The sequence below is a fragment of the Homo sapiens genome, chromosome Y (genome assembly GCF_000001405.40).
Source record: "Homo sapiens chromosome Y, GRCh38.p14 Primary Assembly".
Lineage (NCBI taxonomy): Eukaryota > Metazoa > Chordata > Mammalia > Primates > Hominidae > Homo > Homo sapiens.
The window spans coordinates 15,701,149-15,717,511 of NC_000024.10; positions in this window are offsets into that span (position 1 = coordinate 15,701,149).

Sequence of the window (16,363 nt, forward strand, 5' to 3'; positions counted from 1 at the left end):
ACAGCCAGGAAACAACAGGTGCTGGAGAGAATGTGGAGTAATAGGAACACTTTTACACTATTGGTGGCACTGTAAACTGGTTCAACCACTGTGGAAGACAGTGTGGTGATTCCTCAAGGATCTAGAACTAGAAATACCATTTGACCCAGCCATCCCATTACTGGTTATATACCCGAATGATTATAAGTCAAGCTGCTATAAAGACACATGCACAGGTATGTTTATTGCTGCACTATACACAATAGGAAAGACTTGGAAACAACCCAAATGTCCATCACTTATAGACTGGATTAAGAAAATGTGGCACATGTGCACCATGGTATACTGTGCAGACATAAAAAAGGATGAGTTCATGTCCTTTGTAGGGACATGGATGAAGCTAGAAACCATAATTCTCAGCAAAGTATTGCAGGAACAAAAAATCAAACACCGCATGTTCTCACTCATAGGTGGGAATTGAACAATGAGAACACTTGGACACAGGAAGGGGAACATCACACAACGAGGCCTGTTATGGCATCGGGGAGAGGGGAGGGATAGCATTAGGTGATATACCTAATGTAAATGACGAGTTAATGTGTGCAGCACACCAACATGGCATATGTATACATATGTAACAAACCTGCACGTTGTGCACATGTACCCTAGAACTTAAAGTATAATAAAAATAAATAAATAGAAGACACTCATTTTAGAAAATTAAAAAAATGAATTCTGAAAATAATTTGCATAGACTGTGTTACAGAGCAGCAAGTTAACTGCTACTTCTCTTTTGAAAATTTCTCTTGCACATATTTCTTTCTATGAATGTGCTATAAGTTTCTTTTCATAGAAACAGCATAAGACTTTAGTTACTTAAAATGACCTTGCAAGGAAAAAGAGGCAGCAGAATAGTGACCTGCTTACAATGATAGTCTCCACACCTTAAATGACATGGATGAATATTTATTCCCAAAAGTAGAATTCCATGAAACCCTTAACCCTCTGACACCTATACTCATGAAAAGATCCCATGCCAACAATAATCCAGAAGACAATGGTGACTTTGATTTTATTGCGATTTTATTTTTAACTTTACCTGAATGATCAACTTCTCAGCCACAATCCACTTATAGTGAGATCAAATTAGTTTTTAATGACTAACAACACACCTAACTGGGTGGAAGTGGAGCAAAACAAAGAGTCAGCTCATTGGCTGTGATCCAGAAATCCACTTAAAACATTCATGGTCTCAGAGTCCCATCATTTGTCTTGAGAAAATGAAATGGCTTAGTTATTTTCACTAAATAAATAGTGCCTGGTGTAGACTTAGACCTTATGACTGTCTGACAAATATTTAATGGTTCTTCTAAGGGAATTACAGATAAAAAAATGAAAATTAATCTGTATTTATCCATTCTATTATCTATCTACCTATCAACTATACATCCTATCATCTATTATCTAGCTACCTATCCATCCTATCATCTCTCTTTCTATCCTATCTATAATCTATCTATTCATCTATCATTTCTCTTTCTATCCATCCTATCATCTATTTATCTATTGTATATTATCTATCTAGCTATCTATCATTATTATCATCATAATCTGTTTATCTGCCTATTTTCTATATACACTTAATCATAGAAAATGTCAGACACATTTGAATTTTTTGGTAACTTTTACCTTATTTCCATACTGTCTTCTCTGCCTACACCCCTTCCCCTGCCTCAAATCTGGACCATAAATTTGGCATTTAGTCTTTACACATATTTTAAAATTGTTGCTATATATTAGCTATTCAGAAACTACACATAGACATGTTTTGCATGATTTAAAGCTATAATGATGTAAAGCACTTATGCAAATAAATCATTTATATTGTGCATATCCTTCTGTTACTTGCCATTGCTCTTGCCTGGAATTTGTTAGATTTTTTTATGTTAATATATCTCTACTTGACTCATTTGTTCTACTGTTCATGTTTTCATCGTGTGGCTATACAACCCGTGGCTTTATTCCTCTACTGATGAAAACTTAGATTGTTTCCAGTTTTTTGCTCTCATGAAAAATGCCTCAAGGAGCATTCCCATACTTGTCCTTTTGAACACCAATATGAGCAATTCTTCAGTATGCGTAATGAAGAGTGAAGTAGCTGGCTCAGAGGATAGGTGTATTTACTTATTATTGCTTAGCAAAATGGGGTTTGAAACAATTTACATTCTGACTATTTAAACTGAAACTTTAAAATATTTGCTGATCTGATTGTTATGATGTAATAATGTATTGTAGTTATTATTTTTTTTTTTTGCAGAGACAGGGTCTTGCCACGTTGCCCAGGCTGATCTCGAACTCCGGACCTCAAGTGAACCTCCCACCTCTGCCTCCCAGAGCTCACTTATATTTTTTATTTGCATTATTCTGGTTATCAGTGAAGTCAAATATCATTTTATGTAGTTATTAGTCATTTGAATTTTCTGAGAATTTCCTGTTTATATTATTTGACCATTTTTTTGGTAATAGATTTATAGAAATGTACACACACACACATACATACATTTTGACTATGAAATCTTTCATATTATATATATTTACATACATATATTACTGATACACAACATTTGTCAATTACATGCACAAAACCCTTATAACAACAGCAGTTTATGTTTTTTTGTCTTGTTTATTATTGTGTGTCAAAGTAGTGGCTAAACAATTTATTGAATAACTTTTGAGGCTATCAAAATATCAATCACTTCTGTGTCTGTGTGTGTGTGTGTGAGAGAGAGAGAGAGAGAGAGAGAGAGAAACAGGGTGTCATGCTGTTGCTCAGGCTGGTGTGCAGTGGCATAATTATATGGTCATAGTTCACTGCAGCTTTGAAATGCTGGCCTCAAGCAATTCTCCTGACTTAGCCTCCCAAGTGTCTGGGACTACAGGTGAACTCCATACCACACCTCGATGAGATTTGTGTTCTTCATGTCTAGTTAAGAAAACTTTTAGTGTTCAAAGCCATGACAACACTTTAATCTAGTTTACTCAGGTGCAATTAATTTTATATATATATATATATATATATATATATATATATTTTTCAAAATAGCCTTCCTGTAAAGTCATCTGATACTGAACTCCAATAGTTATCAAGTCAGGTTATTTAGGCATTTAGGCTGCAAGAAATGTTATCATAGCTGCAAAACAGAAAATAAAATGCACATAACATGCTCAGGCTTAATTGATAATAAAAAGTAAAATAATCACCATAATTCTAAAGTATCTTTAAAAGCCAGAACAGGAACATAGGTAAAACAAAACCACCTTTGTTGAAATCTCATTGGTGTCAGACATGTTCCATTATGCAAACAATTGGAAGTCCACAGCAATGAGTATTTGAGCTAATTTCCAATACAAATGCCTCCTATTTAAGGGTTTAGGATGTTCATGCTAAGCCTAGCTTTGGCCTTTCTTAGATCATTTTACTCTAATTCCTACAAAAGTTCACATGAGATAATATATCTTGGTTCCTATGTACAAAACTAACCAACTGAGGTGGGCTAAGCTGTACACAAACCCCTATAAATAAACTCAACTTCTTTTAATGGCTAGTCTGCAAGCTGACATTTTGCTTCATAAATTATTCTGTATCATCATTTCAAATCAGTTTACCAGGGCTTGATCTGTGCTGCATAAATAGATAAAAATTGTATTTTGGGACAGGTTTAGACTGTATTGATCTGAGAGCAGAGGCGATGGTATTCATCAGTGTAGGCTCTAGCCTTTTTGCCATCAAAATACCTCGGCAGAATCAGATGTAAGTGTCGTGTGGTTAAAAGAGAGTTAACTGTCTAGATAATTCTTATAACGCCTTGAAAGAGGCATTAGCTGTTGCAAGACATGACTTGCACCAACTAATTTTATATGTCACCTGGGCTGGGTCAGAGGATGCCCAGATACCTGCTTAAACATGATTTCCAGTGATGTCTGTGAGGCTCTTCAGAATGAGATTAGCATGTGAATCAGCTGACAACGTGGGCAAAGAGCTTGCCCTCTGCAGTGTGGGCGGCTGTCACCCAATATGTTGAGACACTCAATAGAACAAAAGGCAGATGAAGGAGGAATTCAGCTTTCTCCTTTTTCTTTTGCCTTACTGCTTGAGTGGAGACATCTCATCATCTGCTGCCTTGGATAGGGCTTTTACACTATCAGCTCTCTAGTTCTTGGGCTTTCAGATTCAGATTGAATGATGCATCTGCATTTCTTGGCTCTTCAGTTATAGATGGCAGATCATGAGAATTTTCAGCCTCCTCAATTTCATGAGCCAGTTTCTTAATAATTATCTATCTATCTATCTATCTATCTATCTATCTATCTATCTATCTTCATCATAATCATTATCTATCTATTATCTATCATCTATCTATTATCTATCTATTTATCTAGCTCTCTCTATCCAGTTGGAAAAGCAATCTCCAATTGGCTCTGTTTCTCTGAAGAACCCTGACTAATAATTTATACTATCCATGCAATGGCCTGTCACCAGCATGGAAAATCTGGAAAAAAATGCAAGTAATTATAGACCTACCTGATAAATGCACATTCTTTAGATTTCTCTTAGCAAAGTTGCTTGGACAATTGACCCAAGCCCTCTGTGTAGTTTACGGCATACTAGCCAGGTTGGCATGGACTCATAAGTAGTTATAAGTGAGGAAAAGCTGCGAGTAACCAATACAGTGCCTACTACAGCTTAGGGCTTTAGGTCAGGGTCCCAAAATGGGGCTCATAAAATGGAGTTCTTGGAACTCTCAGGGAGGGGAAGCCAGCCGAGGAATGAGGAAGCAGGTTAGAAAATGGAGAAAGTCAAATAGAGTGTGATTTCTGCAAAGTCCCAGGCTCAGTGTGACGTCTGGGGAGCACTGAGCCTTACATAATGTCTTAGAGGATTTCTGACTCATCTTTTTTTTTTATTTTTATTTTTTGCCTGAAAGTAAGGGAGCTGGGTATTCCTCTCTACCCCCATTCAATTACTGGTGATGTTGGGGCTTTGGTGACTGAGAAGATAGAGATGCAGAATGAGAAGTGACATTAACTACTGGTATTTCTCCGTGTTCCAGTGACCCAATGACAACAGTTTCCCTTATAAAAGTCTTAGAAAAAAAGTACTCAACAGTGAGTGGTTGTCTCACAGAGGGTAAAAGGGAGCTGCTGACAATTTGGCAGAGCAACAACTTTGGCTACAGTGGTCACACAATTTTACTGAACTAAAACCCCATCTGTCTGTAGACTCTGCAATGGTTTAATCTGTAGTACATTGAAGATTTTTTTTTTAAAGAAATGCAGCAGAAATTCATCTTGATCTCAAAAATATTCCTTAAAAAATAATAATATAATTGTGTTTTTGGTTTTTCAGAAATCATCCTTGAAGAAAATTGTCTAATCACAAAATATCCTTTAAGAATTCTGTCAGCCTTGTGTGGCTGGTCAAATCTGAAGTTTGCAGAAGGGAAATTGATTGATCAGAAAAGACAGAGAGGACTACATTTTAAGAAAATAATTAAAGAGATTTATGTAGTGGCAGAAATGGTTACAACTTGGAAATCAGCCAGAAAATGCTGAATCATGGGGATTATAGTAGGATCGGTATTCCCTCGTATAGGTTGCCTGTCAACAAAACAACAGTCGGTGAAGCGTGTGACAGGGTTTCATTCTGAAAAGTATTCAGAAGTGCACTATTTTTCCCTGATAAAAAATTTTAAGACATGATTATCTAGTCACACAGTATTTTCCCCCTCAGATGCTCTTTTTAATTTCCTTTTTTTTCAGAACAAGAACTGTATTAGCAGTTTGATAAAAGTGCTAGTTTATTTCTAGAACTTTATTACCTGTTTATTCCTTGTCATCATTTGCCACTGTAGCATAGGAAGTAGCTGATTACAGCTTGGAAGCCAAATTCTGTCCATCCCCTGCTTTTGTAAATAAAGTTTTATTGAAACTCAATAATGCCCATTCATTTATGTATTGCCTGTGGCTGCAGTTTCATTCTGCTTTGTGCTACAAGAGCAGTACTGAGTAGCTGTGACCAAGACAACATGGCCCACAAGGCCTGAAATCCTTACTATTGGCTCTTTATACAACTTTGACAACCCCTGAATTAGGATGTAGTTGAATGACAAAATCTACAGCACCTCTTTTCTTCCTCGCCTGCTTTATAGAAAACAACAGGCCTCTGAGAAGATCTTTCAATATCCTGGGAGAAGATAAGAGGTCAGAATTTATCTCAGGAAAGACAATATATGCTATTGTCTCATGTTTTCATTAAAAGTCTGCAAAATACAGAGTAAAAAAAGATGGCGAGGAAACACATCTAACTCTGAACAATGATAGCTATTTTTTTTTGTTCTTTGCACATTTATATGATTTTAGCATTTTAGCAATAAGCATGGAAGTATACCTTCTATAATAAAAAATATTTTTTTTAAACTCCATAAACTTGTAAAAAATATCAGAGCATTCCTTCTCTGTAATCAGTAGGTGGTGGGGTTGGATCTTGGAAGTAAATTAATTTCTCATGAGCATCTTCAGTGCCAAGAAAATTTTACTTATTCCTCCAAGAGCAAGACAATAATTTTCTGGAATAAATATTATCATTCTTAGTTTGGGAGGCTGGAGTGATTTTTCTAGCACTGCTGTATTTGCTAAGGAAAGAGAAAGTTGGATGCACAGCTGACTTCAATGCTTGTGGTCTTTGCAGCATATTGCAAATGTAAAACTTATCAAATACTAAATGAAATCAAAGCATTAAGAGGTGTGTTCTAATAATTAACCAAATAGTATATTGTCAGCATAACAAGAATACAACAGGGTGTTACTATTGGGACACTGTCTATTGCCAGAAAAAAATATATAATGTATTTTTTTGCATGCACACACATATGTGTGTGTGTGTGTGTGTATATATATATCTGTGGGTATACAAACACACATTAATATATGTCAAATAAATAATATGATAAAATAAGTCATGGAGTAAAGTAATTTTGGAGTGATAATCTCCATTACAAGTGTACCTATTATGGCACGCATTGATATTCATAAGTAAATAATAAGAGGTTTTAAAAAAATTTGATTATGGGCTGTATTTTCACAAGTATGTTAAGTTAGATCAGGTGCTGGTCTCATGTGCTTAAAATAAGGTTACAAGGAGCTTTTCTAGAATAGTACTCTATAGTTTTCTTCTGTTCAAGGCTACCTTTGTAGGATGTCCTCTAATAAATAACTCCATAAATTTGGAAAATGTAGTTGACCTGATTTGTACCATGGGACTCTTCAGAGTCTTTGCCAAATTACTGCTCTTTGTGAATATTCAGGAGAGGGTGCTAGCCCACAGCTTTTCCAGACATGCTATGAGATAATGTTTGGCAATGTCGGAACACATTTTTGGCTGTCACCTCAGAAGGTGGTGGTGAAATTGGGATCCAGTGGATAGAGGCCAGTGATGTGGCTGAGTACCCTACAGTGCATGGGACAGCCTCTCACAGCAAGGAAATGTCCAGACAAAATATCAGTAGTCGCAAAGTTGAGAACCCTTAGACTGGGGAGAGAAGGGATTTGAAGCAGTTCTAACTTTGCCTTAACCTGGAATATCAAGCCAAAGCCTTGAGGCATTTCACAGAACACAAGGGCTCTCAGAGGCACTGCCTGACAAAATATAACAAGTGAAGTGGGGCAATTTAGTCTAGGAGGTTTAAGGGTATCACTGTTTGTATGATGAATCAGTGAGTTTCTGAGCCAGTATGCATGAAGTTTGCAGATACCTCTGGAGAATAAATTAACACCTAGTAACTGCCTGGATGTAGCATCTCCAGGTACATCTGGTCAACCAGGTTAGGTGGGCCTAACATTCATTTACTGGATTCAGCTCAAAGACTTCTGGTAAATACAAACACTCTAAGAAGAGACAGTGCATGGAAAAAAAGTCAACATTGACTTAACATTGACTTCAGGACAGAAGCAACTACTTTAAGTAAATAATTCACACCCGAAAGTGATTTCCAGCCCAGCTACAAGAGACAAATGTCAACCCTAGAAGAAGGCAATATTTAGATAGTATTAACTGTCCCAAGGTAAAGTTATGTACGTAAAATAAATGCATATTTCAGTTTATTTGTCATTTTACCTTGTTCCTGACATTTAACAAGTGTCAATGACTGCAAAATAGAAAAGAAGCACTTCACTAAAATCAGAAATGTGTGGGAGGATAAAAAAAGCAATGTTGGAATCTCATAACCCCATATTGTACACCAAGACAGGAAGTTCCTTCTTCCATCCTCCTGGTTTCTGGGGCTTTAGTGCACTTCATAGAATAGTGACCTGGGTGCTACTAATGCACCAGTGGTTCTAGTGGCCTGCAACAAATGGACCCAGTCGGGAACCATAAAAGAGAAACAGAAATTCCTATATCTAGCTTAGATGGACATACTTGAAGCAGTGCACTAGCAGAAATCATTTCTTTTTGAATTCACATAATATAAGCACCTTGAATTTAAAGAAAAACTAGAAAAGCTAGAATGAAGCAGATGGAGTGAGCCAACCAGCAGTACTCAGACCACCGTGGTTTGAATGGAATCTTAATTTGACACCTATTAACATGAAATTGGGGGAATTCATTTTAGATCATTATCAAATAAAACAGGGAGTAGTCCAGATGCTGTGGCTTATGCCTGTAATCCAGCACTTTGGAAGGCTGAGGCAGGTGGATCACCTGAGGTCAGGAGTTCGACAGCAGCCTGACCAACATGGCAAAACCCTATATCTACTACTGAAAAAAAAAAAAAAAAAGCTGGGTGTGCTGGTAGGTGCATGTAATCCCAGATACCTGGGAGGCTGAGGCAGGATAATCACCTGAATCCAGGAGGCAAAGGTTGCAGTGAGTCAAGATTGAGCCACCCCACTCCAGCCTGGGTAACTGAGCAAGACTGCCTCAAAATAAATAAAATTAAATACATATAAAAAATAAAAAATAACAAAAAAAACTAAACAGAGGCACATAGAAAGAATAAACTGAAGGGAAACAAGATATAAAACAATAAAATCAATTTAGAAAACATCCAAATGACTAAGATAGTAATGACATCTCTGGAAGGATATGTCCAAATAAACAAAATAAAAAGTCATAATAATAATACATGGAGTTAGGGAGGATTCACTCTTTTTCTATTGTTTGTAATAGTTTCAGGAAAAAAAAAAAATGGTTCCACCTCCTCTTTCTACCTCTGGTAGAATTCAAATGTAAATCTATCTGTTCCAGAGCTTTTTTTGGTTGGTAAGCTATTAATTATTGCCTCAGATTCAGAAATGGTTATTGGTCTATTTAGTGATTTGACTTCTTCCTGGTTTAGTTCCCTAGAACTAAACCCTAGAACTAGGGTGTATGTGTCCAGGAATTTATCCATTTCTTCTAGATGTTTTAGATTAATTGGATAGAGGTGTTTATAGTATTCTTTGACGGTAGTTCGTATTTCTGTGGGATCAGTGGTGATATCCCCTTTATCTTTTCTATTGTGTCATTTGATTCTTTTCTTTTTTCTTCTTTGTTAGTTTGGCTAGCGGTCTATTTAGTTAATCTTTTCAAAAAACCAGCTCCTGGATTCATTGATTTTTTTTTTTGTTTTTTTGAAGGCTTGTTCCTGTCTCTGTCTCCTTCAGTTTAGATCTTTCCCACTTTCTCCTGTGAGCATTTAGTGCTATAAATTTCCGTCTAAACACTGCTTTAGCTCTCTCTCAGAGATTCTGGTACATTGTATCTTTGTTCTCATTGGTTTCAAAGAACTGATTTATTTCTGTCTTAATTTCCTCATTTATCCAGTAGTCATTCAGAAGCAGGTTGTTGAGTTTCCATGTAGTTGTGGAGTTTTGAGTGAGTTTCTTAATCCTCAGTTGTAATTGGATTGCAACTGAGAGACTGTTTGTTATGATTTCCCTTTATTGCATTTGCTGTGGAGTGTTTTACTTCCAATTATGTGGTCATTTTTAGAATAAGTGCTATGTGGTGCTGAGAAGAACGTATAATCTGTTGATTTTCAGTGGAGACTTCTCTAGATGTCTATTAGGTCCACTTGGTCCAAGGATGAGTTCAAGTCCTGAATATCCTTGTTCATTTTCTATTTTGTTGATCTGTCTATTACTGACAGTGGGGTGTTAAAGTCCCCCACCATTATTGTGTGGGAGTCTATGTCCCTTTGTAGATCTCTAAGCACTTGCTTTATGAATCTGGGTGCTCCTGTATTGAGTGCATTTATATTTAGTACAGTTCGCTCTTCTTCTTGTTACGATCCCTTTACCATTATTTTATGCCCTCCTTTTATGTTTTTTGATTTTTGTTGGTTTAAAGTCTTTTTTTTAATCAGAGAAAAGGATTGCAACCTCTACTTTTTTGCTGATCGTTTGCTTGGCAAATATTCCTCCATCCCTTTATATTGAGCCTATATGTGCCTTTGTATATGAAATGGGTGTCTTGAATAGAGCACACTGTTGGGTCTTGGCTTTCTATACAAGTTGCCAGTCTGTGTCTTTTAACTGGGGCATTTGGCCCATTTACATTTAAGGTTAATATTGTTATGTGTAAATTTTATCCTGTTATTATGATGCTGGCTGGTCATTTTGCCCATTAGTTGATGCTGTTTCTTTATAGTGTCGATGGTCATTACAATTTGGTATGTTTTTACAGTGGCTGGTACCAGTTTTTACTATCCATATGTGGTACTTCCTTCATGAGCTCTTGTAAGACAGGTCTGGTGCTGACAAAATTTCTCAACATTTGCTTGTCTGGAAAGGATTTTCTTTCACCTTCACTGATGCAGCTTAGTTCATCTGTATAAGAAATTCTGGCTTGAAAATTCTTTGATCTAAGATTTTTTTATTACACTTTAAGTTTTAGGGTACATGTGCACAATGTGCAGGTTTGTTACATATGTATACATGTGTCATGTTGGTGTGCTGCACCCATTAATTCATCATTTACATTAGGTATATCTCCTAATGCTATCCCTCCCCACCTCATCACCCCACAACAGGCCCCAGTGTGTGATGTTCCCCTTCCTGGGTCCATGTGTTCTCATTGTTCAATTCCCACTTATGAGTGAGAACATGTGGTGTTTGGTTTTTTGTCCTTAAGACAGTTTGCTGAGAATGATGGTTTCCAGCTTCATCTATGTCCCTACCAAGGACATGAACTCATCATGTTTTATGGCTGCATAGTATTCCATGGTGTATATGTGCCACATTTTCTTAATTGGAAAATGTGGCACATATTGGTCCACAAGCTGGACATTTGGCTTGGCTCCAAGTCTTTGCTACTGTGCATAGTGCTGCAATAAACGTATGTGTGCATGTGTCTTTATTGCAGCATGATTTATTACTGGGTATATACCCAGTAATGGGATGGCTGGGTCAAATGGTATTTCCAGTTCTAGATCCCTGAGGCATCACCACACTGACTTCCACAATGGCTGAACTAGTTTACGGTCCCACCAACAGTGTAAAAGTGTTCCTATTTCTCCACATCCTCTCCAGTACCTGTTGTTTCCTGACTTTTTAATGATCACCATTCTAACTGGTGTGAGATGGTATCTCACTGTGGCTTTGATTTGCATTTTTCTGATGGCCAGTGATGATAAGCATTTTTTCATGTGTCTTTTGGGTGCATAAATGTCTTCTTTTGAGAAGTATTTGTTCATAAACTTTGCCCACTTTCTGATGGGATTGTTTGTCTTTTTCTTGTAAATTTGTTTGAGTTCATTGTAGATTCTGGATATTAGCCCTTTGTCAGATGAGTAGATTATTTCAAGATGGATTAAAGTCTTAAATGTTGGGGTGTAGCCAAGATGGCTGAATAGGAACAGCTCTAGTCTATAGCTCCCAGTGTGAGTAACACAGAAGATGGGTGATTTCTGCATTTCCAACTGAGGTATGGGGCTCATCTCACTGGGGAGTGTCAGAAAGTGGGTGCAGGGCAGTGGGTGCAGTCACCCAGTGTAAGCTGAAGCAGGGCGAGGCATTGCCTCCCCCAAGAAGTGCAAGGGGTCAAGGAATTCCCTTTCCTAGTCAAAAAAATGGGTGACAGAAGGCATCTGGAAAATCTGGTCATTCCCACCCTAATACTGTGCCTTTCCAATGGTCTTAGCAAATGGCACACCAGGAGATTATATCCCACACATGGCTCACAGGGTCCTACACCCATGGAGCCTTGCTCATTGCTAGCACAGCAGTCTGCAATCAAACTGCAAGGCGGCAGCGAGGCGGGTATGGGGAGGGACACCCACCATTGCCTAGGCTTGAGTAGATTAACAAAGTGGTCTAGAAGCTCAAACTGGGTGAAGCCCACTGCAGCTCAAGGAGACCTTCCTGCCTCTCTGGACCCCTCCTCTGGGGGGCAAGGCATAGCCCAACAAAAGACAGCAGAATCCTCTGCAGACTTAAATGTCTCTGTCTGAGAGCTTTGAAGAGAGTAGTGATTCTCCTAGCATGCAGCTGGAGATCTGAGAATGGACTTACTGCCTCCCCAAATGGGTCCCTGACCCCTAAGTAGCCTAACTGGGAGGCAATCCCTAGTAGGGGCAGACTGAAACCTCACACAGCCAGGTACTCCTCTGAGACAAAACTTCCAGAGGAATGATCAAGCAGCAACATTTGCTGCTCACCAGTATCTGCTATTCTGCAGCCTCCACTGCTGATACCCAGGCAAACAGGGTCTGGAGTGGACCTCCAGCAAACTCGAGCAGACATGCAGCTGAGGGTCCTGACTGTTAGAAGGAAAACTGATAAACAGAAATGACATCCACACCAAAATCCCTTCTGTACTTCACCATCATCAAAGACCAAAGGTACATAAAACCACACAGATGGGGAACAAACAGAGCAGAAAAACTAGAAACTCTAAAATGCAGAGCACCTCTCCTCCTCTGAAGGAACGCAGCTCCTCACCAGCAATGGAACAAAGCTGGATGGAGAATGACTTTGAAGAGTTGAGAGAAGAAGGCTTCAGATGATCAAACTACTCCGAGCTAAAGGAGGAAGTGCAAACCCATGGCAAAGAAGTTAAAAACCTTGAAAAAAATTTAGACAAATGCTAACTAGAATAAACAATGCAGAGAAGTTCTTAAAGGACCTGATGGAGCTGAAAACCAAGGCATGTGAACTATGCAAAGAAAGCACAAGCCTCAGTAGCCGATTTGATCAAATGGAAGAAAGGGTATCAGTGACGGAAGATCAGATGAATGAAATGAAACTAGCTAGCAAGACTAATACAGAAGAGAAGTTTAGAGAAAAAAGAATAAAAAGAAATGAACAAAGCCTCCAAGAAATATGGGACTATGTGAAAAGACCAAATCTACATCTGATTGGTGTACCTGAAAGTGATGGGGAGAATGGAAACAAGTTGGAAAACACTCTGCAGGATATTATCCAGGAGACTTTCCCCAATCTAGCAGGCAGTCCAATATTCAAATTCAGGAAATACAGAGAAAGCCACAAAGATACTCCTTGAGAAAAGCAACTCCAAGACACATAATCGTCAGATTCACCAAAGTTGAAATGAAGGAAAAAATGTTAGGGGCAGCCAGAGAGAAAGGTCGGGTTACCGACAAATGCAAGCCCATCAGACTAACAGCTGATCTCTCGGCAGAAATTCTACAAGCCAGAAGAGGGTAGGGGTCAATATTCAACATTCTTAAAGAAAAGAATTTTCAACCTGGAATTTCATATCCAGCCAAACTAAGCTTCATACGTGAAGGAGAAATAAAGTACTTTACAGACAAGCAAATGCTGGGAGATTTTGTTACCATCAGGCCTGCTCTAAAAGAGCTCCTGATGGAAGCACTAAACATAGAAAGGAACAACCAGTACCAGCCACTACAAAACATGCCAAATTGTAAAGACCATCAAGGCTACGAAGAAACTGTATCAACTAACGAGCAAAATAGCCAGCTAACATCATAATGACAGGATCAAATTCACATATAACAATATTAACTTTAAATGCAAATGGACTAAATGCTCCAATTAAAAGACACAGACTGGCAAATTGGATAAAGAGTCAAGACCCATCAGTGTGCTGTATTCAGGAAACCCATCTCACGTGCAGAGACACACATAGGCTCAAAATAAAGGGATGGAGGAAGATCTACCAAGCAAATGGAAAACAAAAAAAGGCAGGGGTTGCAATCCTAGTCTCTGATAAAACAGACTTTAAACCAACACAGATCAAAAGAGACAAAGAAGGCCATTACGTAATGTTAAAGGCATCAATTCAACAAGAAGAGTTAACTGTCCTAAATATATATGCACCCAATACAGGAGCACCCAGATTCATAAAGCAAGTCCTTAGAGACCTACAAATAGAATTAGACTCCCACACAATAATAATGGGAGACTTTAACACCACACTGTCAACAGGTCAATGAGACAGAAAGTTAACAAGGATATCCAGGAATTGAACTCAGCTCTGCACCAGGTGGACCTAACAGACACCTACAGAACTCTCCACCCCAAATCAACAGAATATATATTCCTTTCAGAACCACAACGCACCTATTCCAAAACTGACCACATTGTTGGAAGTAAAACACTCCTCAGCAAATGTAAAAGAACAGAAATAATAACAAATTGTCTTTCAGACAACAGTGCAATCAAAGTAGAACTCAGGATTAAGAAACTCACTCACAACTGCTCAACTACATGGAAACTGAACAACCTGCTCCTCAATGACTAATGGGTACATAATGAAATGAAGGCAGAAATAAAGATATTCTTTGAAAACAATGAGAACAAAGACACAACATACCAGAATCTCCAAGACACATTCAAAGCAGTGTGTAGAGGGAAATTTATAGCACTAAATGCCCACAAGAGAAAGCAGGAAAGATCTAAAATTGACACCCTAACATCACAATTATAAGAACTTGAGAAGCAAGAGCAAACACATTCAAAAGCTAGCAGAAGGAAAGAAATAAATAAGATTAGAGCAGAACTGAAGGAAATAGAGACACAAAAAAACACTTCAAAAAATCAATGAATCCAGGAGCTGTTTTTTTTTTTTGAAAAGATCAACAAAATTGATAGACTGCTAGCAAGACTAATAAAGAAGAAAAGAGAGAAGAATCAAATACATGCAATAAAAAATGATAAAGGGGATATCACCACTGATCCCACAGAAATACAAACTACCATCAGAGACTACTATAAACATCTCTGCACAAATAAACTAGAAAATCTAGAAGAAATGGATAAATTCCTTGAGACATACATCCTCTCAAGACTAAACCAGGAAGAAGTTGAATCTCTGAATAGACCAATACGAGGCTCTGAAATTGAGGCAATAATTAATAGCTTCCTAACCAAAAAAATTCCAAGACCAGATAGATTCACAGCTGAATTCTACCAGAGGTACAAGGAGGAGCTGGTATCATTCCTTCTGAAATGATTCCAATCAATAGAAAAAAAGGGAATCCTCCCTAACTCATTTTATGAGGCCAGCATCATTCTGATACCAAAGCCTGTCAGAGACACAACAAAAACAGAGAATTTTAGACCAATATCCTTGATGAACATTGATGCAAAAATCCTCAATAAAATACTGGCAAACTAAATCCAGCAGCACATCAAAAAGCTTATCCACCATGATCAAGTGGGCTTCACCCCTGGGATGCAAGGCTGGTTCAACATATGCAAATCAATGAACTTAATCCAGCATATAAACAGAACCAATGACAAAAACCATATGATTATCTCAATAGATGCAGAAAAGGTCTTTGACAAAATTCAACAAGGCTTCATGCTAAAAACTCTCAATAAGTTAGGTAGTGATGGGATGTATCTCAAAATAATAAGAGCTATCTATGACAAGCCCACAGCCAATATCATACTGAATGGGCAAAAACTGGAAGCATCCCCTTTGAAAACTGGCACAAGACAGGGATGCCCCCTCTCACCACTCCTTTTCAATATAGTGTTGGAAGTTCTCTCCAGGGCAATCAGGCAGGAGAAGGAAATAAAGAGTATTCAATTAGGAAAAGAGGAAGTCAAATTGTCCCTGTTTGCAGATGACATGACTGTGTATCTAGAAAACCCCATTGTTTCAGCCTCAAATCTCCTTAAGCTGATAGGGAACTTCAGCAAAGTCTCAAGATATGAAATCGATATGCAAAAATCACAAGAATTCTTATACAACAATAACAGACAAACAGAGAGCCAAATCATGAGTGATCTCCCATTCACAGTTGCTTCAAAGAGAATAAAATACCTAGGAATCCAACTTAAAAGGGACATGAAGGACCTCTTCAAGAACTACAAACCATCGCTCAATGAAATAAAAGAGGATACAAACAAATGG